The following is a 27,381-nucleotide window of genomic DNA, read 5'->3' as shown; positions in this document are numbered from 1 at the left end:
CCAGCCCCTGGGCTTTTGCACACGCTGTTCCCTCTGCCTGAACACCCTCCACTGGGCTGAGAACAACTCTTTGAGACCTCTCTCAACTTTTACTTCCTTTGGAACAGCCGCTGCTGCTGTCCCTCTCCCAGCTCCAAGACCTGCTGAGCCTCCTGTCTTTTTCAGTTCCCATGCACCCAACACTTCTTCGTGGCCTCCTTTTGCCCAATTGACAATGTCCATTCTCAATGCCTTCTCACCCAGCGCTGAGCCCCACTGGGTGAAGGCAATGCCTGTCATGTTCACCACAATATCCCCTCCCCCATCACCACGCCTGGTCCACAGTGATGCTCAAAAAAGATCTGTTGGTAGCAAAGAGAAGGTGCATTCGTGTCATCCTGCAGGCGGAATTCTCCACGAGTTTGGAGCAGCCTCGGTTTTCCCACCACCTCCAAATCATGGAAGACACAGGGTAAGAGCAAAGACAAGGTGGCTGTGGCCGATGTCCACCCTCTCGGGGCTTCCCTTCTCTTCTCTCCTCCTTGGGGAGGGAGACCATCGGGGTGCAACCTGGCTGCAGCGGGGAGGAGGGGCAGGGCCTGGTCAGAGCGGGTATGGCCACAGGCAGGGGACAGCGACCGCTTGGGCCGGGGCAGGTGAGCGCAGCGCAGGCCAGGGCCCGGCGTGTCCGCGGTGCGCGCGAGCGGCCAGCAGAGGGCGCCAGAGAGCCAGGAGCGGCCCGCGGAGGAGCCAGCGCCCGCCCCGATGCCCAGCTCCGCGCCGCGCGGACCCACCGAGCCCGCGCTCAGACGCCCCAGCTCCGCCGAGAGGCCGCTCGCGCCGGGTCCTTCCTCTTCCCCAGGTGCAGGCAGAACCCCCGGAGCCATGGCCAGCCCTTCCGGCAGCTCCGAAGCCACTGGCAAGCCCCGAGGCAGGGATGGCCGGCCCAGGAGGGAGGAGGACGACGTCCCTCCCGAGGAGAAGAGGCTGCGGCTGTTGCTGGAGGGGGGAAGCGCACAGCCCGAGGACGGGGAGGACGCGCCGCGGCCGGGCAGGAAGGAGACCGGCACCCAGACAGGTGGCGACGGCAGAGGAGTAAGTGACGCGGGCGCTGGGGTCCGGGGGTCCCGGGGGCGCAGGGTAGGGGCGGCGGGAGGCTCCGTGGCCGGCCCCGGGTTGAAGTTGGTAATTGAGCGGCAACTCAGGCGGGCGCGGAGTGACAGCTCGTGACGGCCTCCGAGACGCCAGCTGCCCCTTCTCGGCTGTGTGGCTTCGACTTCCTGATTCTCCCACGACGTCCCTGGCCGGGAGACGCGCTGGACTCTGCGGCTGGCCAAAAGGGGAGGGGGAGCCCCGCGTCCTGGGGGCCCCTAGCAGGGGAAGGGGCGGGGGTTGCGCCGGGCATCCTGTCTGGGGCATCTGTCTGGGACTCTGCCGGTGCCTCTCACCTGGCGAGGGGCCTGTGGTGGGGGTAGGGGGGAAGTCCCTGGCGCCAGGCTTGGCCAAGCCCTGCTCTGCTGGACTGCGGGCTGGCGGCGCTCACCCAGCTCCTCACCTGTCCCGCATCTTCCTGTTTTTCTTCCCTTTCTGGTTGGGCAGCGAGAGTTGAGAGGAGGCAGATGGCTTCCATCCCAGAAATCGCTCTCCTCTTTCCATCCCTACAGAGAGGGACAGAGAGGCAAAGTTCCTTGCATCCCCCGGGGCGCTGTCCCTGTGAGCTCCCGGTGTCGTGCACACGTGAGCCCCTGAGTCACCGGGCTTGTGTGTGTGCGATGGGGCTCCGTGGCCAGCCTGGCCTCCTGGGGTTCACTTTCTGCTTTCCTACCCCAGCTCTTCCTGTGTGGCTTTGCTGGCCTTCCACTGAGGAGGCACATGGGTTTGGAGGGCAGATGAGAGCCCACTGGAGAGCTGTACCCCTCAGTGAGGGCCGCCACCTTGATGGTTTTTGATGGATATTGGGGTTGACCTGTTTGTTCCTTCCACATGTTTTTTTGTTTGACCATTTGCTCAGCTGAGCTTGTCTTAATAATTGGATTCGTGGTTAATGAGCCCCACATGGGCGAGAGAGCGGCCTTCATTCTGAACCCATTTAGGCAGCACGGGCAGCCCTCCTCGCCGTGGGCGGCATTAGAGCCCACCCTGCCCAGTCTTGGGGTTGCTCCTTGATGCTGTCTGGGAGGCTTGCTCATGGTGACATCCTTATCTCTCCGTGCACGTTACCGCATTCAGAGCTTGGGTCACGTGGACACTGAACTCAGGCGAATTTTCTCTGAGATCCCGGGAGAAGGAGGACAGTTCTTTGGAAGGTTTTCCAGGGCTGATCACGGAAAGGATGAGAAGGGAGAGGTCCTGGTCGGGGACACAATTACGATGGCAGTGTAACGCCGGGAAACTTTATTGCATGAAGTCCCTCTCACTCCCTCTACCTCCTTCTTTTACGTGGACTCTGCCAAAGACCAGGATACCAGAATGCAGTGGAGTGACCAAGTGTAGTGGGACCTTGGGAACCCGAGTCTGGAGCCAGGCAGCTGGGGTTTGCATCCTGGTTCTGCCCCTCCTTAGCTGGCTGACATGGCACAAGCCACTTACCCTCTCTGAGCCTTACTGTCTTCGGTGGCAAATGGATCTGTCAACAGGCCCCATTGCCTGGGGTTGTTACTGCTGAGATTAAGGGAAGCTCATCCATAGAAGCACTTAGCGTTGTGCCTGGCACATAGTGTATGGTGGATAAATGGGAATTAGGACTGAAACTCATGCCTTGGTGTGTTTTTGCAGTGATGTTTTGTTCTGGGGTGCATCACAAGAGACAAAGTTCTTGGCTGGGCATGGTGGCTTAAGCCAATAATCCCAGCACTTTGAGAGGCCGAAAGGGGAGGATCGCTTCAGCCCAGGAGTTTAAGACCAGCTGGGCAACATAGTGAAGCCTCATATCTACAAAAAAAAAAAAAAAAAACAGCCAGTTATGGTGGTGTGTGCCTGTAGTCCCAAGTACTTGGGAGGCTGAGGTGGTAGGATTGCGAGAGCCTGGAAGGTCGGGCTGCAGTGAGCTGTGATCATGCCACTGCACTCCAGCCTAGGTGACAAAGTGAGACCGTTTCAAGGAAAAGAGAGAGAGAGAGAGAGACAGACCCACAAGAGTCTTAAGCCAGAGTCTCCATGTTAAAATGCTTTCTGGAGGCTAAAAGGATGATATGTTGATAATGAAATATTTAAAAGGCAGAAACCCCACTGAATTGTTTGGTCCACAGAGGGAAATGGGAATCACATGACCTGAAGGATGATGGAGGAACTGAACAGAAACCATCCTTGTTTCCTGAATCTGAACATGGCACCCTCTTTTCATGGTGCCTGTATCTGCTCAGTCTGGCGGCCCCTTGAAAAGAGGGAATCTTGATTTTCAAACTTAAAATTTGGCCCAAAGCCCACTGCTGCCCACAATGCCCACCAGACCCATTCCTCTTCCCTTTTAGTTTCTATGGGAATACTCTCTTTGAAGAACCCATGAAGCAGTGTCAGGCTGGTGTGAGGATCAGCAGCGATTTCTTTGAGGAGGAGAGCCCGTTTCTTCACTCACAGGCCATGTCTGAGTGGATCAAGAAGAACAGAGTGCCCTTTTAGAGATTTTGTCTGCGTAGACCATTAGCTTGGTAAAAATGTCAAAACCATCCTCGCTCTTTAATAGCAGATTATTTTGGACTTTTCTCTGCAAGAAACAGCATGGGCATTCAGATGCTTTTAAGGATAAAATGTTCTTTCTCATCACCAGGCCTGGTGCTCTGGATGGCTGAGGTTTTAATGTGACTTGGTGTTCCTTGGAGTGGCTCCCAGGCTGTGCTCTTGTGGTTGGGTGGCAAGGGGTTGCTTTATTCGGTGGTGGCTAGAGGATGTTTTAGCAGGTAAATCGGGACCCCAGGAGCCCCTGAGTGCCAAGTCCTGCTGCAGGGCATGTGTTTATGGTGGGGAGGCGGGGGGGGGGGGGGTGGAGGGTGAGGGGCATTGACTTCCTGCGAATATCAGAAGTTTCACAGGCTTCTTGTGTATCCATAAACACCCACCCCATTGAGAAGGCCTAGAAAACCTGGCCCTCCCCAAGCCTTTATTGACCACTTGTGAATGATCCCAGGGTGTCTGACCAACAGCTCTTCCTGGAGGGAGAGAAAAGTCTCTCCTAGGTATTTGGTTATCAACCTCAACCATTTGCTGAGCCTTCCCCAAGACCAGGCACCTCGGCAGAAATTTCGGGGTTGTCAGGCAGAACCGAGCATTCAAGGGTGAAAACTCACTGGAGTTCCTGAAATCCCTGATGGACGCACCAGGTGAAAGCATCCAGGGTTGAAACCAGATGAGGAAGGTTATTGTGAGCCTGGGGCTCCTGTAGAGGTGCATCTGCGTTGCAGGGGTTTTCCTTCTTGCTGAGGAGAAACCTGGGTTTCTCAGCTTTGGCACAGTCACAACACTTGGGGTGAGACCATTCGTGGTGGTGGTGGGGGGGCGTCCTGTGTATTGTAGGATGGTTAGCAGCACCTCTGGTCTCCATCCTCTAGGTGCCATTCTCCCCTCCCAGCTATGGCTACCCCAGATGTCTCCAGACGGTTTCAAATGCCATGGAGCAAGGGAGTGGTATGTGAGCAAAACCACCCCAGTTGAGAGCCATTGGTCTACACTTGTGGAAATGTTTAAGGGTGAGAGTGTCGAGCTTGGGTCCCTGCTGTACCCTTGGTGAGCAATGCGGTCTTGGAAAATTAATACTACTCCAGGGGCCTCAGTTTTCTCATCTATAAAATGGAGATAAATGAGACACACTTTCATAGGAAGGTTATATGGGATTTACTGAGATAATAAGACAGTACATGGAAAATGCTGGGCATAGAATTTATTCATTTTATTTTTTTTTAAGATGGAGTCTTACTCTGTTGCCCAGGCTGGAGTGCAGTGGCATGATCTCCACTCACTGCAATCTCCACCTCCTGGGCTCAAGTGATTCTCCTGCCTGAGCCTCCCGAGTAGCTGGGATTACAGGTGCCAACCACCACACCAGGCTAATTTTTGTATTTTTAGTAGAGATGGGGTTTCACCACATTGGCCAGGCTGGTCTCAAACTCCTGACCTAAGGTGATCTGCCTGCCTCAGCCTCCCAAGGTGCTGAGATCACAGGTGTGAGCCACCACGCTGGACTGGGCATAGCATTGTAACACAGAGAAAGCACAAAATACTTGGGCAATATCTTTTTACATTTGGCTCGTCTAGACTCCATCCTCCATCCCCTCATGCGCTGGTGCAGTGCAGACCAGAATATCACCCACCTAGACTGCAGAGTGGATTTGGGTGGCATCTTGTCTTTCTGCACAAGACTTGCCTGTTCCCCACCACATCCCCCTGGTTCTCAGGGTCCAGGATTCCAGGAGGCAGGGATGTGGGCAGGCAGGGCAGGTGGCCCACCCAGTTCACTCCCACGCTGGTGACCTGCAGAGCCAGCTCTTCAAGACAGGGTGTTTTGACCAGCATCCGGGTTTCTGGATTTCCATTTGAGCACGGCTGGACTACACAGGCTGAAGCTCTCCCTGCTGAGATATAGATATTTCCCTGGCGATGATCTTTCAAGCTGACATGAAGACATGACCACCCGCTGGAACGTGGTGTGTCTGCCGTGGCGCTCTTGTAATTTGTGAGGCAGGCTCCTGAGGAATGCAGTGCATAAGTGGGAAATGGTGGGAAGTTCTCCCATCCCCCACTGGCTGAAAGTGCTGCCTACACAGGTTGGTGGACGGTCCTTTGAGCAGGAAGAAGACACGGAGTACATTCCTGTTAGCTACGACAGAGAGGGGCAGGGTACACACTGGACATTTCAAACCCCTGCAGAGAAGGAAGTCTTACTGTGCTGGGAATACTTGTGGAGTGGGGGCTGTGTTGCCCTGGGCTTTAAATATTTCAGGAACATTTAACCGCAGGGCTGGCAGGCTGGATCTTGATATGTGTTTCTCAGTTGGAAAGACTTTGGACCATAGGGAAATGTCTTCTCAATTCTTTTAATTTCATTAAGGTGGTCATTTTTCTTCTTGTGGCCTCTGGAATGTGACACAGAACTCAAGGGACAGGAAGGAGATGAGTTGGAGGCTGGGACAGGGGTCCCTGCCAGGGATGCTGGTGACTCACATGACGGAGTTGATGTGTGGAGTCCGGTGCCTGGTTTGGGGAATGTTTGTGGAATATGTTACAGAGCACTGATGGACCTATCAGGTACTGGAGGTGAATGGTCAAGTCTGATCTCAGGGCTGGCAGTGTCAGGCAGGACAGGAAGTTGATGTTGGACTCATTGGCTGAGGTTGCTTGGGACCCAGGGGGCAATGTGTGCCAGGACAGATGAGTCTGGGGCTAGGAAGGCAGGTTTGGGCTGGAGACTCGGGCTTGGGAGGCATCCCAGGTTGACAGTGGTTGAGGCTGTGGAAATGACTGCGATTGCCTGGGATGAGAGTGGAGACAGACAAGATGGGGGTTTTGCTCTAAGCCTGGGGAACCCACCTCCCAGGTTCAAGGGATTCTCCTCCCTCAGCCTCCCAAGTAGCTGGGAATGCAGGTGCATGCCACCATACCTGACTAACTTTTGTACTTTTAGTAGAGATGAGGTTTGGCCAGGCTGGTCTCAAACTCCTGACCTCAAGTGATCGACCCACCTTGGCCTCCAAAGTGCGGGATTATAGGCAAAAGCCACCATGCCTGACCATTTTTAAATATGAATTTTTATGGAATATTTTCACACACATTTTACTATATGTTGGAAAAGTCAATCATGATTTGAAAACTTTATCAAAATCCAATCAAATGTCAATTAACCATTTAATTGTGGATGGGTAAGGAGACTATTTTGACCAAAACATGTTAGAACAATTACCACTTATAGAAATAATCTATGTTTTAATGTTTTAGTTGAATTAAAGAATCTTTTATATTCTGTCCAGGCGTAGTGGCTCACACCTGTAATCCCAGCACTTTGGGAGGCTGAGGCTGGCGGATCACCTAAGGTCAGGAGTTCGAGACCAGCCTGGCCAACATGGTGAAACTGTCTACCAAAAATACAGAAATTAGCCAGGTGTGATTGCACACACCTGTAATCCCAGCTACTTGGGAGGCTGAGGCAGGAGAATCATTTGAACCTGGGAGACAGAGGTTGCAGTCAGCCGAGATCGCACCACTGCACTTCAGCCGGCCTGGGTGACAGAGCGAGACTCTGTTTCAAAAATAAATAAATGAAGAAAATAGAATTCTGAATTTTATTTTTAATAATTATTTTTGTAAAGAGAATGTCTTGTTTTTTGGAGATGTTGAATTTATTGAATTGACAAAAATTATGTACAAGAGGGTATACAACATGATGTGATTGAAGTATGTATACATTACGAAATGGCTAAATCAAGCTAAATAACATACCACCTCCCAGACTTATTTTTTTTTGTGGTGAGCACACTTAAAAATCTACTCTCTTAGTGATTTCCAAGTGTATGATATGTTGTTTTTAACTATAGGTACCATGTTGTCCCATGGATATCCTGAACTTATTCTTCTTCTCTAAAAATGACATTCTGTGTCCTTTGGCATCTGCCTACTTCCCCACCCTGGCAACCATCATTCTACTCTGCTTCTGTGAATTCAACTTTTTTCTTTTCTTTTTCTTTCTTTTTTTTTCTTGAGACAATCTCATTCTATTGCCCAGGCTGTAGTGCAGGGTTGTGATCTTGGCTTACCGCAGCCTTGACCTCCCAAGCTCAGTCAATCCTCCCAACTCGGCCTCCTGAGTATCTGGGAGTACAGGCATGCACCACCACGCTCCAGTAATTTTTGTATTTTTTTGTAGAGTTGGGGTCTTTCTATGTTATGCAGGCTGGTCTCGAACTCCTGGGCTCAAGCAATCTGCCAGCCTCAGCCTCCCAAAATGCTGGGATTACAGGCATGAGCCACCATGCCTGGCCGAGTTTAACTTTTTTAGATTCCACATATAAGTGAGATCATGTGGTATTTGTCGTTCTGTGCTTGGCTTATTTCACTTAAGATAATATCCTCCAGGCTCATCCATGTTGTCTCAAATGGCAGCATTTCCTTCTTTTTGAAGGCTGAATAGTATTCCATCGTGTACATACACCACAATGTTGCTGGAAGTGTAATGGAGGCCAGCTGGGGGAGGAGGGAGAAAAGATTCACTCTAAGTCTAGATGCTCCAGCACCCACCCAGGGTGTGTGCAAGGAAGTGCAGGTTGCTCCTGGTCTTGCAAACTGTGGTTTGTGGGACTCCAAAGCCCCTATCCTTCCACAGTGCTTTCTGTCCTGTTATCACATTTCGTTGGAGGAGAACCGAGCCTTGGTGGAGAGCCCTGCTCTGGCTTTGTCCCTCGGCATGAGATGGCAAAGGATGGTGCTGCTGGGAGACCCTCACGTCTGCACACTGGGGGCTGCTTGCCTTCTCCATTCCTCCTTCAAGTATCTGAGCAGCTCCTGTGTGGCAGCTGCTGGTCTATGAGATGGATGGGTCCTTGGAGATCACGCTGTAGCAGAGGAGGCAGGCTGTAGCCCACAGGCCAGAACCAGCCCCTTGCCTTTTCATACAAATAAAGTTTTATTGGAACACAGCCACACCCATTTCAGTGCATATTGTCTTGTGGCTGCTTTCCTGCTACAATGGAGAGTTGAATAGTTGGGACAGAGACCTATGGCCTGCAAAGCTGAGCTATTTACCATCTGGCCCTCAAGAAAAAGGAAAAAAAAATGCTGATCCTTGTACCCCGACAGTCTTAGGTTAAGAGGACTTTGTACCACCCTGACGTCCCAGGCGGCCATGAGTCCAGCCACCCTTGAAATGTACACAGATCTGGGCTAGTGTGCTTTCTGATTTTTGTATGGGGAAGAGAAAGGAGGGAGGAAATGATAACTTGTTGCCCTGTTCTAACATTTTCCTAAGAAGGGTCTCCAGGCAAGGGCTTGGGATCTCACCTTGCACAGCGTACAAAACCCAGTGAGGCCAGCTGTCTTGGTGCTGACACTCTGAGGGATGGAGCCCACAAATGACTAGGAAGAGAGATAAAAGAATAGTTTTTGCGAGTACAAGAACTGGCGTTATTGAAATTAACATTTCCCCCAAGTTTTATAATGTCTAGGCATGCATATTTCAGTGTTTGCCTCAAAAGCTCATCCTAATAACCAGATGGTGCATTTAATTTCCTTTTTTTGTTCTCTAAGCAACATGCAGCGTCCTGCACAGCCCTCCTTGCAGGCAAGTGCGCTGAGGTGGCAGTCCTCCTGACTGCCAGCACAGATCCCCAGGGCCTCTGAGAGCCCTGTATTCTGGGGGCAGCCTTTCCCCCTTCTATTCAGCCCCAGCTGGAAGGGGACAGGTTACCCACAGCCCAGCACAGGGCTCCTGCCTTAGCTTAGCTTAGCTCCTGCCTAAGCACAGGGCTCCTGCCTCAGCTGCTCTAGGGAGTCTGGCTCCCTCTGACCCTCTAGACCTCACCAGCTGAGGATCAGAGCCCCAGGGCAGGAGCCAGGGCCAGGGGGCATTGGGGGGTGGTTTGAGAGTGCAGCTCTGGAAGGGGGAATTGCGGGCCCAGGAAAAGCTGCTCGAGGGAGACTGCAAAGAGGTGGCAGAGTTAGTACAAGAGGGCCGGGCATGGTGGCTCACACCTGTAATCCCAGCACTTTGGGAGGCCGAGGTGGGCGGATCACCTGAGGCCAGGAGTTTGAGACCAGACTGGCCAACATGGTGAAAACCTGTCTCTACTAAAAATACAATAATTAGCCAGACGTGGTGACACCTATAATCCCAGCTACTTGGGAAGCTGAGCCATGAGAATTGCTTGAACCCGGAAGGTGGAGGTTGCAGTGAGCTGAGATTGTGCCACTGTACTCCAGCCTGGGCAACAGGGCAAGATTCCATCTCAAGAAAAAAAAAAAAAAAAAAGAGTCAGGACAGGAGGAGGAGGGAAGAGAGGGAGCTGTGGGGCAGCAGCCAGGGCCTTAAAGGCACAGGAGAAGAAGCTTGGATTTCCAGTTCCAAAGGACATGAAGACAAAGTCACACACCTTTATTTAACCTGCTCCAGGTGAGGCTGGGCTTTGTGTATTTTCCTTGTTTTCCTTTTCCTTGTGTTCAGGCTGTTGTAGAAACAGGTACGCAGGGGCTCTGTGTGGCGCCCTGTCCTGGTGGCCTTCAGGAAGCATGGGGTGCCCTGGTTTCCTTGGCTTTGTGTCCCCCTTTCCTCCTGCCACCCCTGACTGTGCTCCCCACCTTGTCCCTCAGACCATCCTCCTGGAGGGGCCTGGCTAGGGCTTGTGTCCTTGCTAGTCTCTGGGAAGGAAGACTCTGTGACTTGAAAGCCTGTCGGCTTAAGTTGCAAGGTGTAGGTGCCTGGGAGGGCACTTGCACGGCCCTCTTGACTGATCCATTCATGTTTTTCTTTTTTGACTCTGTTCTATGTTGTCCTGATGGAGGGGTAAGCCCCTGCCTTCTGCCTTTCCTGCCTTGGACTCTTGCAATTGGGCCAGATGAGAGGGTCCATGTGGTCTGAGAATTCAAGCAATGCAGGCCAGGCGTGGTGGCTCACACCTGTAATCCCAGCACTTTTGGAGGCCAAGGCGGGCAGGCCAGGAGTTCGAGACCAGGTGGCCAAAATAGTGAAACCTTGTCTCTACAAAAAATATGAAAGTTAGCCAGGCTTGGTGGTGCGTGCCTGTAATCCTAGTTATTTGGGAGGATGAGGCAAGAGAATAACTTGAACCCAGAAGGAGCAGGTTGCAGTGAGGAGGAGGTTGCAGTGAAGAGGTGGTTGCAGTGAGGAGGAGGTTGCAGTGAGGAGGAGGTTGCAGTGAGCCGAGAATGTGTCCCTGGACTCCAGCCTGTGCAATAGAGCGAGACTATGTTTCCAAAAAAAATAAAAAAATAAATAAAAAATTTATATAGAAAACAAAACATAAAACTTCCTCTTGATTTGATTTTCTTGACCTTGCTTCTCAGAGGTAACACTGGGAAGGGTTGGGGTATACGTCTCCACACCTTTTTCTTTGATTTCTTTTTATTTTTTATTCTACATTCTGAGATACATGTGCTGAATGTGCAGGTTTGTTACACAGGTGTACATGTGCCATGGTGGTTTAGTGCACCTATCAACCCATCATCTAGGTTTTAAGCCCCGCATGCATTAGGTATTTGTCCTAATGCTCTCCCTCCCCTTGTCCCCCACCCCCGATGGGCCCTGGTGTGTGATATTCCCCTCCCTGTGTCCACGTGTTCTCATTGTTCAACTCCCACTTATGAGGGAGAACACGCAGAGTTTGGTTTTCTGTTCCTGTCCATACCTTTTCCCTCTGTGCACGCAAGCACATGTATTTGCACATAAGTGTTTATTGTAAACTTTTTAAAAAAATAAAAATGGAATAATGCTCTATTTATTCTTTGGAAAGCCTGCTTTTCAGGCAGCGTGTCTTTGACATTGTCTCACGTTGGAACCTGGGAACCACCTTCTTCTCCCAGCAGTTATTCTGACGTGTGGATGCACCACGCTTCGTTTAACCAGCCCTGCACCGATACGTCTGTGGATGGTTTCCGCCTTTTCCCAATCACAGACGGTGTTCTGATGAATTTCCTCGCACACATCACTTGGTGCTCTGTGCCTGCATTTCTGTGAGATGTTCCTGGAGGTGGGCTGTCTAGGTCAGAGGGGGATCTGTGCTTAATTTGCATCCTGTGCAAAATCCATCCAGTCATCCGGCTCCCCAAGGGCTCACATGGTACTGTCCTCTGTAGACATCATCTTCTGCAGATGATGGCACGACCACCTCTCTTTCTTTTACTCACACCAGTCTGCACCCTGGTGTCCTGAGGGGGTCCAGCCCCTACCCGCTTGTCTGCCCCCAGTCCCCCCAGTCCCTGCTAATAGGGAATCTGGCCTCTAAGCTTTGGCAGACTGCTTCACTCTGGAGAAGTTTGCTTTCTCAAACATTCCTGGCAATGTTACTGCAAATCCCGAGGCCCGTATTTGCCTTCTTCAGCCCTCAGTTTTCTCATAAGTAAAATGGGGATAATGTGATGCTACTGTCTGCATCCTAGAGCTGCCATGAGGGTTCAGTGAGATCACTGTTGAGAGCACGTTCACAGCGCCGGCCTTGTGCGCAGTCAGCACGTGTGGAGCAGGGCTGTTGCTGATACGTGGTTGACTGTCATTGCTAGAGTGTGGCTTTACCAGGGGCGATGTCTTTAGTGCCAAGCCCAGAGCCACCCCTAGTACCTGCTGTGTTCATAGAGTGATTGAGTGGCAGGGTCAGAGACTGGGGCAATGGCAGCAGAAACAGAGGGAAGAAGTGGGGCTTCTAATAGGTCCTGGACCAGTGGTCCTTGAGATGAAGCCTTCTTGCCAAGGTCTGGGGCTGTGCTGTGTGTTCTAGGCCCGAGACTGGAAGCTAGGCCTGGCTGCAGCCCCCGCTGAGCTGGGGAAGTGCAGGTCAGCATCCTGCTTCATTAGGACACCTCCAAGCCCAGCTTAGACGTGGATGCCACGTGACCTCCTGTTCACTCTGAGCCCAGACAGAGGACAGGGAAGTGTGCAAGGGTGGGGACCCCCTCATCACAGCCCTTGACTCTGTAAGGCATATGGGTTTGTGCATGTGTGTGAGCACGGCCGTGGCTTCTCTGAGTTTCAAGCTCGAGGTTGTGTTTATGCAGGGTTAGGCTTGCCAGGTAAAATACAGGAGGTCCAACTAAACCTGAGTTTCTCATTAACCCTTTTTTTTTTTTTGGTGCAAATATATCCCATGCAATATTTGGGACCTGCTTACCCTAAAAAATGATTTGTTGTTTATCTGAAATTCAAGTTAAACTGGCATCCTGTCTTTTCACTTGCTACGTGTGAGAGTTCCGTGTGGGGGTTATCAGTGTGCATTTGTGAGTTCCCATGTGAAGGACTCTCTCCAAGTGTCTGTAGGTGCCAGGATGGAGATGGACAGAGAAGATCCTCTTGGGCTGCTTTAGTGGTACCTAGAGGCTGTGGGGTTTGACACTTCAGCCCGAGGGGCCTGGGCAGCACTGTCCAGCACCTGCCTGCTCCTGTCTTCTTCACGGGGGCTGACTTCCCTGCCATCTCTCTCCAAATATGGTAGCAAGAGCTATCCCATCTGCCCCCATCTGGAGCTCAGCTGCCCAGCCAGACAAGATGACAAACAGTGTGCAGAGGGCTGCAAAGCTTTCCTCAGCTCCTTCTGCAAGGGGCCTGCAGATGAAATGGAAGCCCTCATCCTCACTGCCTCCCCCTTCCAGAAAACCCAGGCAACAGCCACCTCTGAATGCTGCTTTAGAAGCTTCTCCCTCCTGGTGATTAAACCACCCCAAACAAATAAAGCACTGCATTTCCACCATGGGCTTGTTCACATGCACGCAGCCAGTTGTCTTGGATCCGCCTGTGTGTCTGATGCATCAGGGTTAGGGGTTCTCCTCTGAGGTGCTTGCAAAGATCTGCTTAATTTTCATCTGGAAGACTCTCTGTAGAGATCAGGCCCAGCTTTGGAAGAAAGCCCTTTCTCCCCCTTTAGCAAATTCTGTGTCATTCTTTTTTTTTTTCTTTCTTTTTTGAGACAGAGTTTCACTTTTGTTGCCCAGGCTGGAGTGCAATGGTGCAATCTCAGTTCACTGCAGTCTCTGCCTCCCGGGTTCAAGCGATTCTCCTGCGTCAGCCTCCTGAGTAGCTGGGACTACAGGCACCCACAACCATACCCGGCTAATTTTTTTATATTTTTAGTAGAGAGGGAGTTTCACCATGTTGGCCAGGCTGGTCTCGAACTCCTGACCTCAGGTGATCCACCTCGGCCTCCCAAAGTGCTGGGATTACAGGTGTGAGCCACCAAGCCTGGCTGGGATTCTGTGTCATTCTGGATACTTATCATGACTTCAAGCATCCAGGACTCTGTCCTGGGTATCCTGAGCCTGAGTGTGTATGTGTGTCCAGCTGGCTTGGAGGTTGTCTACAGGCAGGTTGAACTTGGCCTCTGAGTCCATGGCAGCCTTACATGGGAAATACCACCAAGGAGCCTCATCCTGTGCTTTTAGGAGATAGTTTCTATTTAGTCATTGCTGAATCTGTTACAGACAGGGTCTCAATTTCTTGCAAGTCCTGTATGAGGTGGGTGCTGTGATTATCCACATGTTCACTTGTTCTCTCTAGCCTCTTTCAGGCTCTTACACTTCCTTTGCTCTTTTCCTGCCTCAAGGCCTTTGCACATCCTGCTCTTTCTGCCTGGAAAGATTTTCCATCTCCCTGCCTCTTCACCTGGTCACAGTCTCATCTGACAGTGGAGTCACTACATCCTCAGGGACGCCTGGCCACACTGACTCAGTCACAGCAACCCCCTGTTATCTGCTTTCATGACACCAGGTGCCTCTCTGTGGTAGACACTAGCTCAGCTATGGATTCCTATTTCTGTGCATGTCATCCTTCCCCTTCAAGACTGGTCACCATGAGGACCAGGGCCATGCCTGTTCCTGATTCTCATTTGTGTCTCTGGTGTTTAGTATATGCTCACCTAGAGTTTGATGAATGAATGACGGCATACCCATTTTACAGATGAGAAAGTTGAGGCTCAGGAACATTATGTAACTTGCTCAGTAGTAGGTAGTGATGGTTTGAAGCCATCTGGCTGGTCGCTGGGTGCACACTCTTAACGAATTCACTATGGTTCTTCTCTCTTGGTAGCTCTCCAACAGCAGGAGTGAGAGACAACTTTAGGACAGGTGTAACCAGAATCCCAGGGGTTATCCTAGAAGGTGATGTCAGGAACATGCTTGCCTATGGGCCTTCTTACTGTATTGCATAAAATACCCCGTTTTTCTGACTTGCCTTTAGTAAAGACCTTAGCAATATTTGAAGCACAGTTCTCAGTAGGAAATGGTGGGTGTTTATACTTTTTTAAAAAGGAGTCTATATCATATTTATCTTGTGGTCTGCCATGCCCCCTGCTCTTCTTCAGCTTCAGTTATGCAAAATTCACACTTCTTCTCTTGACTGCCTCTCTCTTACCTGTTCAGTTTCTTTTCTGTGTTCGAGATTGCTTAGAATTTTTCCCCATTACTACAGCCTGCTTCCCACCTGTATCCCCCAGCCAGCTTGTTCTGGATTTTGTCAACAACAGTTACAGCGTTTAGTGAGGGCTGGACTGAAGGAAAGCCTTGGAAAAGGCTGTGTGATGAAAGTTGAAGACACCTAATGGGCAGGCAGTCATCAGGGTTAATTCAAAGGCTGGAAGAAGGGCTGACCTGCAGGACTGGAAATGTCTTTGAGCTGAAGGTCATGTGCAGGTGGAACGAAGAGGGTGAGCCTTTTGGGGTGAACTGCAAGTATTTGATAAGATCCCTGTCCCCATGGTTGGGGAAGTCTTGATAAGCATCCTCAATGTGATGGAGGGATTAGGGAACCCATGGCTCTACCTGTCCAGCATGACAGCAACATGACACAGCCAAGTTATTGATTATTGGTTGCCCAGCTGTCATCACTCAACATCTTCTGTTAGTTATAGCTGTAATTTGCATTAGTTGTCAATGCCAGTTTTGACTTTCCTAGTCAATAAAGTGGTCTGAGAGTGGTAACTAAGGCTGAGCACTACCCGTAATCATGAGTATTACAGAGGCAAGCCCTTTTGCCCACCCACCTGCAGGTGATGAGACACCTTTGGAAATCACTCAATTCTGTGGAGGACCCCGAATAAATGCTCAAGTCCATCTGTTCATCTGTCCATCCATCCGTCCACCCCTCCTTCCATCCATCCATCCATCCATCCATCCAGACATGCATACATCCATCCACCCACCTACCCATCTATCCACCCACCCACCCATCTATCTATCCAACCCACTCTCTTATGCACCCAACTGTCATCCACCTACCCACCCACCAACCCATCTATCCATCCACTCACCCATGCATCTATCCACCCATTCACTCATCTACCCATCTATCCACCCACCCGTCCATCCATTTATCCCGCCACCCCCTCACCCACTCATCCATTTCTCCACCCACTCAGCCATCCCTTCACCGACTCAACCATCCATTCATTCATCCACCTGCCTGCCCACCCATCTTTCCATCCACCCATCTATCCACCCACCCACCTATGTATCCATCCATCTGCTTGCCCTTCTGTTCATTTATTCCACAAAGACTCGTTAACCACCTGCTAGATTCTGGGGAGGTACCTGCTCTAGTAATTGAGAACACGGTCTCTAGAATATGATTCCCTGGGCTCCAACTGAGCTGCCTCCTAGCTAGCTACCTGGGTAAGTTATAGAAACTGTGCTTTGATTTTCTTATCTGAAAATTGGCTATTAATAGCTTCTACTCTTGCAGATATAGTGAGGATTAAATAAGATGTCACGTTAAAAGTGCATCATCGACACTCAATAGATTAGGTTTTACCATTCATTATTATTCTTGGCAGATGCTGCAGATAACGTGGAGAGCATACGAAAGGCACATGTTTGAACCAATAGTGACATACGGGTGCTAAGTTCTGCAGTAGGGAAAGGGCAGAGAGCCATGGAGAGAGCCTGGCCCAATCCTGGAGCCTCAGAAAAAAAGTTCCTTATTAAATTGCTGTTTTAGCTAAGACTTGTGGGATCGGTAGTAGTTGGAGATCCCAGAGAGGATGTGACCGAGTCAGCCAGGGAAAAATTTGGTCCTGGCACCCATGGCAGAGTTGAGTGATCCAATCCTTCTGTCTCCTCTGGCTGGAAGTCCACCAGATCTGGGAATGTCAAGTTGGGGAAGGGGGCTGACAATGATCATGACCTTCGCCTGTCCTCACATGTCCTCTGTGTATCTGCAAAGCCTCTGCCTCAGTCTCCTCTTCTGGAAAGTGGGATTGGAAACCACATCTGCTTCTCTCCCAGGACTGCTAGGAAGACAAGATTAGATGGCAGGTGAGAGCTCTTTGAAAATGAAAACATTCTGCTATTTGAATGCAAAGTGTTCTTCTTTGCCTGTGATGTTTCCTAATCTGTGAACTCATACTGGACCTCGAAGCTGTCTATTAACAAAAAATGGCAAAGTGGCTGGGCATGGTGGCTCATGCCTGTAGTCCTAGCACTTTGAGAGGCTGAAGGGGGCGGATCACTTGAGACCAGGAGTTCGATGCCAGCCTGGCCAATATGTGAAACTCCATCTCTACTAATAATACAAAAATTAGCCAGGTGTGGTGGCATCTGCTTGTAGTCCCAGCTACTCAGGAGGCTGAGGCACAAGAATCATTTGAGCTCAGGAGGCAGAGGTTGCAGTGAGCTGAGATGGCACCACTGCACTCCAGCCTGGGTGACAGAGGGAGGCTCTGTCTGAAAACAGAAAAAAAAAAAAAAAAAAAAAAAAGCAGCAAAGTTAACACTTCCTCCATCTCTCCCCTAGGGGAGGCAATTTGTCAAAGATCGTTGTTGGATTTTACACACAGGGAAATCTAATGAAGGTGTGGAAACCAGACCAGGACTCCAGACTCTGGTCTCCCTGTTTACAGGGTCTTAAATGGGGAGCCACTTGGGGTTCTTTCCACAAGATTGCTTTGTAAAAAAACCAAGAAACAAACAAACAAAAAACTCAAAAAAACAGCCCTGACCTAAATATTCACAAGGGACCTTAGGCAATATCTGCAAACAAAAGTGAGTGATGAGTGGAATCTGTCATCTTTACAACTAAGACAGCTCCAGAGTTGAAGCAAGTGGAAATATCTCTAGAGACAGAGATTTGGGCAGGTTTTGCCAGTTACAATCTACGAGAACCTGGGCAGGTTTACCTCTCTGAGCTTCTGTGACCTTGTAAAATAGGCTGCATTGCGCTAAATGTGCAGGAGGAATCCCAGCATCCTCCTGTGCACAAGGCTGGTTTCTTCCCATCCTTTTCCTTGTTCTGCCTCTCTCCTCCTCTCCAAGAGATGAATACATTTGAACCCAGTAGGGGCCTATGTTTGCAAAAGCTTGCAGGTGATTCTCATGCTGCCAGTCTGGCTCTGGCGCTGAGTTCTTGGACACTTTTGGAGGCACATTTACTAGTGAGGAAGGTCACTGTGTGCTGAAGGCATGATTCATCTTCCATTCCTTTCTTCCATGAAGCAAGGTGCATGGGTCGACTGAGCTGGGAGAGTCCACAGTGTCAGCCTCCCCCACACTTCCCCCCCTCCTTATTCCTTGTGTGCTATACTTTGTCTTGATTTCCTGTACTCTGCACCAAGCCAGGAGATGGTAAGATCTCAAAAAAATCATTTTTTTGGGAAATGGGATCAAGAGGGTTTTTGTTTGCTTGTTTGTTTGTTTGAGACAGGTTCTGTCACCCAGGCTGGAGTGCAGTGGCATGACCTTGGCTCACTGCAGCCTTGACCTTCTGGGCTCAGGTGATCCTCCCACCTCAGCCTCCTGAGTAGCTGGGACTGCAGGTGCACACCACCATGCCTGACTAATTTGTCTATTTTTTGTAGAGATGAGGTTTCACCAGGTTGCCTAGGCTGGTCTCAAACTCCTGGGCTCAAGCAGTCCTCCATCCACCTCGGCCTCCCAAAGTGCCAGAATTACAGGCATGAGCTGCTGTGCCTGGCCAAGGTTTTTATTATTATTATTATTATGAAAAATTTTCAATATACATAAAAGTAGAGAGACTAGTTTAATAAGCTATCATATACCCATCACATAGGTTTAAAAACGATTAACGTTTGCAATATTGACTCCATTTGTTTTTCTGAAGTATTTAAAAAATAGTTTACAGTAGTTATGTAATTGCATCCTGATATTCACCCCTACATAATTTACTTTCCCTCTAAAAACATGAGGGCATTTTTTATATGATCATTGTCATACCTAATCAAATTACCAGTAATTCCTTAATATCCTCTAAGGTCAAGTTTACATTCAGATGTCTTGTCCTCAAAATGTCAATTCTGATTTTTTTTTCTTTGAGCAAAGATAATAAGATCTCAAGATTTAATGACAGAGATTCCATGTTAGCCCTGATGTCTAAGCTCTGTGGTCCATTGTGGCTGTACTTGAAAGTCTCAGGCTAGGCGTGGTGGCTCACACCTGTAATCCCAGTACTTTGGGAAGCCAAGGTAGGTGGATCATGAGGTCAAGAGATCAAGACCATCCTGACCAACATGGTGAAACCCTGTCTCTATTAAAAATACAAAAATTAGCCAGGCGTGGTGGCAGGCGCCTATAGTCGCAGCTACTCGGGAGGCTGAGGCATGAGAATTGCTTGAACCCGGGAGGCGGAAGTTGCAGTGAGCTGAGATTGTACCACTGCAAGCCAGCCTGGGTGGCAAGAACGAGACTCTGGAAAAAAAAAAAAGAGTCTCACTGTGGTCTCATAATAAAAGGACACTCCATTTCCCATCTGGCCCCTGCTCCTTAATGTTAGCCCCCTCCTGTGGGGAGGAGGGGGTGACCTTCAGTGCAGGTTCAAGCATTCCCAGGGCTGGTTCTGTTCCCGATAAAACCTATCGTCACGAATGAATGCTTCCCTTGCAGGTTATTCTAAGTATTGTAAATAGTGGACGTGGAGCATCCTCATGATGACTGGGATGGCAGTGAATATTTATAGGTTTCTTTTAGTGCCTTTTTTTAGTGTTTTCCATAGTTCCATGTTTCTACAACCCATAGGAACATCAGAATCATGTGTGTGTGTGGATGCTTATTAAATACACCAATTCCTGGAGCTCACTCCCAGTGACTCCCAGTCTGATGATTAGGGTCTCAGCTAGGACCTATGTTTGCAAAAGCTCCCAGCTGATCTCATGCAGCCAGCCTGGCTCTGGCTCTGGCTCTGGCTCTGGCTCTGGGAGCTGGATTGGGAACTAGTCTTTGGTGCTATTCTCCTGAAACTTCAAGTTGGGCTCTTTGACTCCGTCTTGTATTGTCACCACTTGTATTCAGGTCTGTTCTTCCCCTGGATTGTAAACTCCTTGATGTCGGGGTCATCTCAGCTCATGAGCTGAGCTTTCAGTGGGTGCTCAGTGGAACAGGTGCTGAATGGAGTCAGGCTGTAGGGAGGCCAGCGTGTGTTGGTAAGTGAGAGACAAAATCATTTTAAAAAGAATCTTTTTGCCCTTCAGTTGTGTTCGCCATGAGTTAATGTGATTTACTCTAGTGGAAGCCAGTGCAGCTAAAGTGGAGGTCTTGCCCTGAAATGGAGCCAGGTTATGGATCAGCAGAGCTGCCAAAAGCATTTTGGGGGAAATGTTTCTGTGTCACCCTCAGTTGATTGAACTCAAGTTTTCACTCCCGTTTAACACCACGTGGGGGCCATTCTGACTTCTGCAGAGTGGGTATGATCAGATCTTCTGTAAAAGTGTGAGTGAGGAGGCTGGGCACGGTGGCTCACATCTTAGCACTTGGGAGGCTGAGGTGGTCAGATCACTTGAGGCCAGGAGTTTGAGACCAGCCTGGCCAACGTGGTGAAACCCTGTCTGTACTAAAAATACAAAAATTAGCCAGGCATGATGGCGCATGCCTGTAATCCCAGCTACTCAGGAGGCTGAGGCAGGAGAATCGCTTGAACCTGGGAGGTGGAGGTTGCAGTGAGCTGAGGTTGCACCACTGCACTGCACTCCAGCCTGGGTGACAGAGCGTGACTCTGTCTCAAAAAAAAAAAAAGTGTATGTGAGGAAACTGGGATAGAGCTTGGGGATGTTGGGGGATGGAGGTACTTCATCTACTGAACAAAAACCATGGGATACCAATGCTGGAGGAAGAAGCATCATCCTCAGTTTCTACTAACTCAACAATGCATGAGATGGGGACTTGGTGTCCAAGAGAAGAGCCTGTTTTTAGGTCTTCAGCCTTGATCAAACCATTTCTGTATTTCTCATACACATATAATCAGGTGCTATGAGTGGTACTGATCGGATAATCTTTCTGTCGTTTCCTGTGCTAGGAAGGAAAATAAATGTACAGCCAACTTCCTTGAGGGTTTGTTCTTTTGCATCAGGGTGTCTCAAACTCCTGCCCTTAAAACACCTGTAAGAGAATCATCCAGGCAGCTTGCTCGCTCTGCATGCAGACCCTTTAGAATCAAAGTCAGAATCCCTGGGGCTGGAGCCACAAAATGAAATGACATTTCAACAAGTTTGTCATCATGTAAGAGAGAATGGGTGAGTATTTGGATACCTATAATACAAAGTAGATTCAAAAAGAATGACTTGATTATTTTAAATGCTGTGTTTTAAAAAATTTAATACAGAAAAGGCTGGGCACGGTGGCTCACTCCTGTAATCCTAGCACTTTGGGAGCCCAAGGTGGGTGGATCATTTGAAGTCAGGAGTTCAAGACCAGCCTGGCCAACAAGGTGAAACCCCATCTCTACTAAAAATATAAAAATTAGCCAGGGGGTAGTGGTACGTGCCTGTAATCCCAGCTACAGGGGAGGCTGAGGCAGGAGAATCACTTAAGCCTGGGAGGCAGAGGTTTGGTGAGCTGAGATCATGCCACTGCACTCCAATGTTGGTGACAATTGTTTAAGCACCTCCAAAATGGGTTCTGAGTCCAAATATTAATATGAAGAACATTGGTGACATTGTCTCAAAAAAATTAATGAATACAGAAAAGTACAAAAAGGGAGAGAAATCACCCTAAATCTCACAACCCCAAGAAATAAACCTCCTAATATTAAGTGAACAGCATTCCTTGCTATGCACAAAGATGGCTAGAGACATGAACAGACACTTCTGATCACACAAAATGAGATTTTAAAAACAAGAAGTAGCAAATTGAATGCTATGTAAATTCATCAGAAGAAAAAGAAATAGAAGTGAAACTGAAGGAACTGGTCAACTCAGATAAGCGTAGTTTTTCCTCACTAAAAATCAGTTTCTAGAACATCTAAGAAATCAAAGATGATGAAAAATATTAAGATGTTTTCTATATATGTAGAAGTCTTTACAGTTGACTGATCATCTCATGAAAAAATTGTACAGTCACTGAAAATAAAGTCATTGCAAAATCTTTACTCCTTTTGCTTTTTGCCAGCACTGACATTGGCCTTTGCAGTCTCTTGACTTCATTCTGCCCTTGCATTCCTTTGCTGTTTTCTTGAGGTCATCTTCTTCTCATGCTAGCCGTGTCTTGCAAGTCTATGTTTGATTTCATTGTTCTTTGCATAATTCAAAGAACCAGATAGCATGCCAAAGCCCATTGTTTAACCACCACCAGAATGGGTTCTGAGTCCAACTATTAATATGAAGATGACATCCATTGTGGTCTTGTACATTTTGTTGCCTTTCCGGGGTGAAGGACATTGGTGACCATGTGTTTCCTCTGGAGTGGTCGATTGGTCATGAACTTCCTGGTCCAGATAGTTACTGTGTCATTCATCATGGTGGTTGATCCTCAGGTAGTTAGGGAGGAAAATAAACAAGAAGTTATATATTTAAAACCACGTTTCAATTTTAGACCTGATTAATTGATTTAATAAAGGGCATTAGCACTTCTGCTTCCTACAGTCACTCCCTTTACCTCTGGAAACTAGTTATTTCTAGGTTGTTTTATGTTGTTAAGGTTGACCACCTTTTCTTTCTGTTCTGCAATCATAGTCCTATTTTTAAATGGATTCACCTCTCATCACTAGCCTTTTGTCATGGTCATTCAATTCACAAGTTGCTTATTTTTTAATTTCTTGGCTGACTAAATTTTATTATGAAGACTTTTTTTTTTAAAGAGCTCAGAAATACTGTATTCTTTAAGTTCTTGAACACGCGATAGTGTCTTTTGCCTATTTTGATTGGGAAATAATTTAGCTGGCTATAAAATTCTTGGATTATACTCTATTTCCCTTAGAAATTATAGGCACCCATCCACAGGCATTTCATTGTGCTTTCTTTTTTTTTTTGGAGATGGAGTCTTGCTCCGTCACCCAGGCTTGAGTGCAATGGTGCGATCTCGGCTCACTGCAAGCTCTGCCTCCAGGGTTCACATTATTCTTCTGCCTCAGCCTCCCGAGTAGCAGGGACTACAGGTGCCCGCCTCCATGCCTGGCTAACTTTTTTGTATTTTTAGTAGAGACGGGGTTTCACCGTGTTATCAAGGATGGTCTCGATCTCCTGACCTCGTGATCCGCTGGCCTTGGCCTCTCAAAATGCTGGGATTACAGGTGTGAGCCACTGTATGAGCCCAGCCTCATTGTGCTTTGTACTAACCCCCTTTCCCTGGCCTCTTCCAGCTTGTCTTCTTCTCTCCCAGTAGTTTCTTCATGAAGAGGCCATGTGCTATATTCCATGAGATATTTCACACTCAAAGAAGACTTCTTTTATACTCTTTTGATAATTTGTCTGGGAATCACTGTCTTGATTTATAAGGGAGTTTGTAATAAATACAGTAAAAGAGAAACACGCAACGTATTTTGAGACATCAGAGAAGGGAGAAACCAATTCTATTAATATTTGGGGTTAGCAGGGAAGGCTTAGTTAAGAGGTAACATTTGAACTAAGCCTTGAAATAAGGGAAGGATTTGGCCATGCAGTAATGGCGAGAGAGTAGAAGCAAGACATGATGGTTAGTGTTATGTATGAATTTGACTGGGTTGTGGGGTGCCCAGATATTTGGCTACACATTATTCTGGGTGTGTCTCTGAGGTATTCTGGATGAGGATAACATTTAATTGGTAGACTCAATAAAGCAGATTGTCCTCCCCAATGTGGGTGAGCCTCATCCAATCCACTGAAGGCCTGAACAAAACAAAAAGGTAGAGACACAGAGAATTTGCTCTTTTTACCTGATTATATTTGAGCTGGGACATCAATCTTGTCCTGACTTTAGATGTGGACTTGAGTTGGAACTATATCATTGGCTGTCCTGGGTCCCCAGCTTGCTGGCTGCAGACTCCAGGACTCCTTAGCCTCCATAACCATGTGAGCCATCCCTTACAACTAATCAATCTGTCTCTGTCTATGTGTATAGCTCTACCTCTATCTCTCTGCTCTTTCTCTGGATAACCTAGAATAATACACAAGGTTGTATTAGAGAAGAGGATGACCCAAGGGAAAGCATGGAGGCAGAAAAATGCAAAGAGGGTTTGGGAAGACTGGGGTCCTGATGGGGAGTTTGGATTTCACTGTGTGTAGCATGGAGAATCCTTGAAAATATTCAAGAGGTGAAAATTGTATTTGTGGAAGAACACCAAGAGTATGTAAAAAGAAAAACACTCACTCCATTTTAACTCCACTGAAGGGGGCATCAAAGGGATGCACTGGGGACATGGGTTGGAGGGTAGTTGAGGCCGTATCTGGAGGATCTTTACTTCTAGGCTGAGTCTGAAGTTATCTTTCTGGGGAGTGGGAGAGTACAAATCTTTGAGCTCCACTCAAGAGATGGTTTTGCTAACAATGGCAGGGCGACGGTGGTGGTGGTGGTCGTGGTGGGAAACTGGTAGCATGAATTCTAATTGGGCTTCTGTTATTGTAGCCGAGAAAGTTGGGGAATGGACTTTCAGTAGAATAATACAGACCTGGGAATCAACTGCATGGAGGAGGTAGTTATAGGTGATGAGATGGCTCAGGGACAAAGTTTGGTAGAAGGAGAAAAGATACTAGGCCGGTACAAAAATAATTGCTGTTTTTGCCATTACTTTCAATGGCAAAATCCGCAATTACTTTTGCACCAACCTAATAGGATGCAAACTTCGGAGCCCTCTGCATCAGAGGGATTGATGAAGATCAGCAAAGTTTGGGAACACAGGAAAGGAGCGGGGAGGGTAATGACTTGAGGGCATAGCAGGGATAATCAAGGTTTTTCTTGTTAGCATGTGGAGACTTAAGCATGATTATATGTTAAACGCCTGGCACATACATGGTGCAAAATATTTATGAGTGAAATGACAAGTGAAGGTGGTGAGTCATGGGAGTTCCAAGGGAAGGGGTGATAAAGGGAGGTCTCAAATGAGGCACAAGTGGAGAAGGCAGCTTTGGAAAGGAGAAGGATGCTTCTCCTTATAAGATGGGAAAGGCAGAGGAAGAGGGTCAAGGTACAGTGATCTAGGGGTGAAATAGAAGTGAGTTGAGAGAACTCAACTCTGGGCTCTGAAACCCCTAGGGATGGGTTTGGGGGGCTTTGGGATATGGAAGAGGTTTAAAGTTAATTGTTATAGCAAATATGGTTTGGAATTTATTTGTGATGCTTAAAAATATTGCTGAACAGAAGTGAAGTCTACCCTAGAGTTGGATGGTGAGATTATTTAGTGGAACTACCAGATCCATGATGTGATTCTTTCCAGTATCATTCAGCAGCCCTTGGGCAATTGCGAGGCAAGTCATCAATGGGGTATGGAGATTTTCCAGGTGGGTGTGGTTGGAGGCAGGGAAGAACGAGTTTAGGAGCACATTACAAGAAGAAGGTGACTGTAAGGTCCAGGCTGAGCAGGAAGGTAAAGCAAGAAGGAAACAGGAGGTTGTGAAGAGAAGTTTAGAGGGATGAGGAGGCAGGAGAGGTGAACAGTTGCAGGATGTAGCTAGAGTGGCGATGTTAGATCTTGGGGCCAGAGAGCTTTACAATGATTATGAAGATCAAAGGGCATTAGAATCAAGCTATAAAGAGCCACTGTTTGATGTTGGGATGTGAGGATGCTGCAGGTGGATGTCTGCACATTGATGGTGAGAGTATGGTCACCCTGGCCCTGCTGGGTCTTTGCTAAAGAGACTGTGCTCTGTTCTTGGGGCCGTTTTCATCACCTGATTAGAGCAGTGGTCCCCAAATGGTGTTCTTTGGACCATCTGTATAAAATGTTCATAGGTCAAGGATAAAATGGAAAAACAGAGAAAATGTCACAGAAATGTGCCCATTGGTGAAAGACCACCAGCTGTCCTTTTTGGAGGATTGTTCTTTATTCTAAAAATGTATATATTCTATTCTATTAAAACATTTTTGTATTTGCATTTTTTTCTCTTTTATGAAATGCCATAGGGTAGAAATTTGTAATGTATCCAGTTCTCCTGTCTTCATGCATTGCCCTGTGGTGGGGGAGGGGATGTGTCTAGTACTGGCCAAAAGGCTGGGGGCAGAGGTGCAGTGTGAGACTTCTAGCCTGGAGCGTTTAATTCTTAGTACAAGGATCTCTAGCATTCTTCTCCTGCTGTTCCTTGCTTGGTGATACTCGAGGTAATGCGGCCCCCATTAGCCTTAGTCTTAGGGCAAGTTTGATGGAAAACAGAGCAACCCACACCTCCCTGCAGATGTAGCATGAGTGAGAAAAACAACTACTGATGTTTGAAGTTACCAAGATTTAGGAGTTGTTTGTTATTGCAGCAAAACCTCACCTATTCTGACCAATCATGGTTGAATTTCTGTGTGTGTGTGTGTGTGTGTGTGTGTGTGTGTGTGTGTGTGTGTGTGTGTGAAACTGGTAGTTTAAAAAAGTTCCTTCTTACCAAAAAGAAAAAAAAAGTAGCAACCTTATGTTGGTTCTCCAATTAATAAAATATTTTTACTGGTTTATAAAATAGAAAAATCTGAGAATCTGTAGCTTACAGAACAACAGTGTGGGATGTCTATAAAGATCAGGTTATTTTATCAGCTCCTAACACCCCTTAATAGAAGCTTAGCCAAGACTTGGACTATTTCAGTCTTTCCCATTCCACATTCCATGGACTCTTGAAGAGACATTGATGAAATGATGCAGCCATGAATCACCCTCACTCAATCATAGTGGCAGAATCCCCCTTTTACTGCAGAATGAGCTTCTTGCTACAGTGATACTTGAACCCCTTAGATATATCCTGTACTAATTATATTAAAACACGACCAATGCTTTTGCTTTGTTGTCCCCCAAATTAAACACCTTAATCATGAGAACCCAGAGAATTGGATTTAGTGTGACTGATTCCAAACTGTCAGTAAGAACACAATTAGGTTATATTTTTCTCCAGTTCAAATAAAAGAAAACTGACAATAAAATGCTGATCAATATGTGTAGCTCAGGAAGTAGAGCCTGCTTTGAGATGCAGAAGTGTTTGTTTTTTTTAGATCTATATTCTTGAGTAAAGAAAAAATCCATCTCTCTTTCCTAGAGGGGAAGACTTTCAAAGCTGGGCTTGGCAACAGCCTATCAGAGGCTGAATTAAACAAATAGGTACCTCCCTTGAGTGAATGGTGCGTTTCTCCTGTTCGGGGAACCGTGCTTTTATGGTGGAGTTTGCTTTCTGTCTTGGTCTCCGGATGTGGGTATCTGTGGGTGGATGTCTGCATGTAAACGGCAGTGTATACCTGTGTGGGTGTGTACAAAATTCCCATGTGAATCTCAGCTTTGTGGGGATCTCCGGGTCTTGAGCCCAGCAGATGCCAGTTGAAGAAAAATCACTTGAAAATGAGACAGAAAGAATGGAAACTAAATCCTAGCTCTAAAGGCACCAGGCTGATTAAAAA

The 27,381-nt window shown here is 47.9% G+C and overlaps 1 long non-coding RNA gene and 2 pseudogenes across 1 annotated transcript in view, besides 2 other annotated features; 2 read left to right on the top strand and 1 right to left on the bottom strand.

Moving 5' to 3' along the window:
- Positions 1-468: 468 nt before the first annotated feature.
- On the top strand, positions 469-27,381 carry LOC107987159 (serine/arginine-rich splicing factor SR45-like; annotated as a pseudogene).
- Positions 606-875: a silencer, noted in NCBI's record as "silent region_3080". NCBI's record gives its function as "represses an Ori minimal core promoter by ATAC-STARR-seq in GM12878 lymphoblastoid cells {active_cell/tissue: GM12878}" and the evidence as "EXISTENCE:reporter gene assay evidence [ECO:0000049][PMID:35858748]".
- The window catches only part of LOC101927708 (uncharacterized), a 64,008-nt gene continuing 46,640 nt past the window's right edge, over positions 10,014-27,381 (top strand). The window contains exon 1 of the long non-coding RNA NR_126335.1: positions 10,014-10,066. This is a non-coding gene — a long non-coding RNA (uncharacterized LOC101927708). The remainder of the gene's footprint in view (positions 10,067-27,381) is intronic.
- RPS24P14 (ribosomal protein S24 pseudogene 14) lies at positions 21,977-22,489 on the bottom strand (annotated as a pseudogene).
- Positions 27,119-27,268: an enhancer, noted in NCBI's record as "active region_4309". NCBI's record gives its function as "activates an Ori minimal core promoter by ATAC-STARR-seq in GM12878 lymphoblastoid cells {active_cell/tissue: GM12878}" and the evidence as "EXISTENCE:reporter gene assay evidence [ECO:0000049][PMID:35858748]".

This window comes from Homo sapiens, chromosome 11 (genome assembly GCF_000001405.40).
Source record: "Homo sapiens chromosome 11, GRCh38.p14 Primary Assembly".
NCBI classification, from domain to species: domain Eukaryota; kingdom Metazoa; phylum Chordata; class Mammalia; order Primates; family Hominidae; genus Homo; species Homo sapiens.
This window is presented reverse-complemented; position numbering and strand designations above follow the sequence as displayed.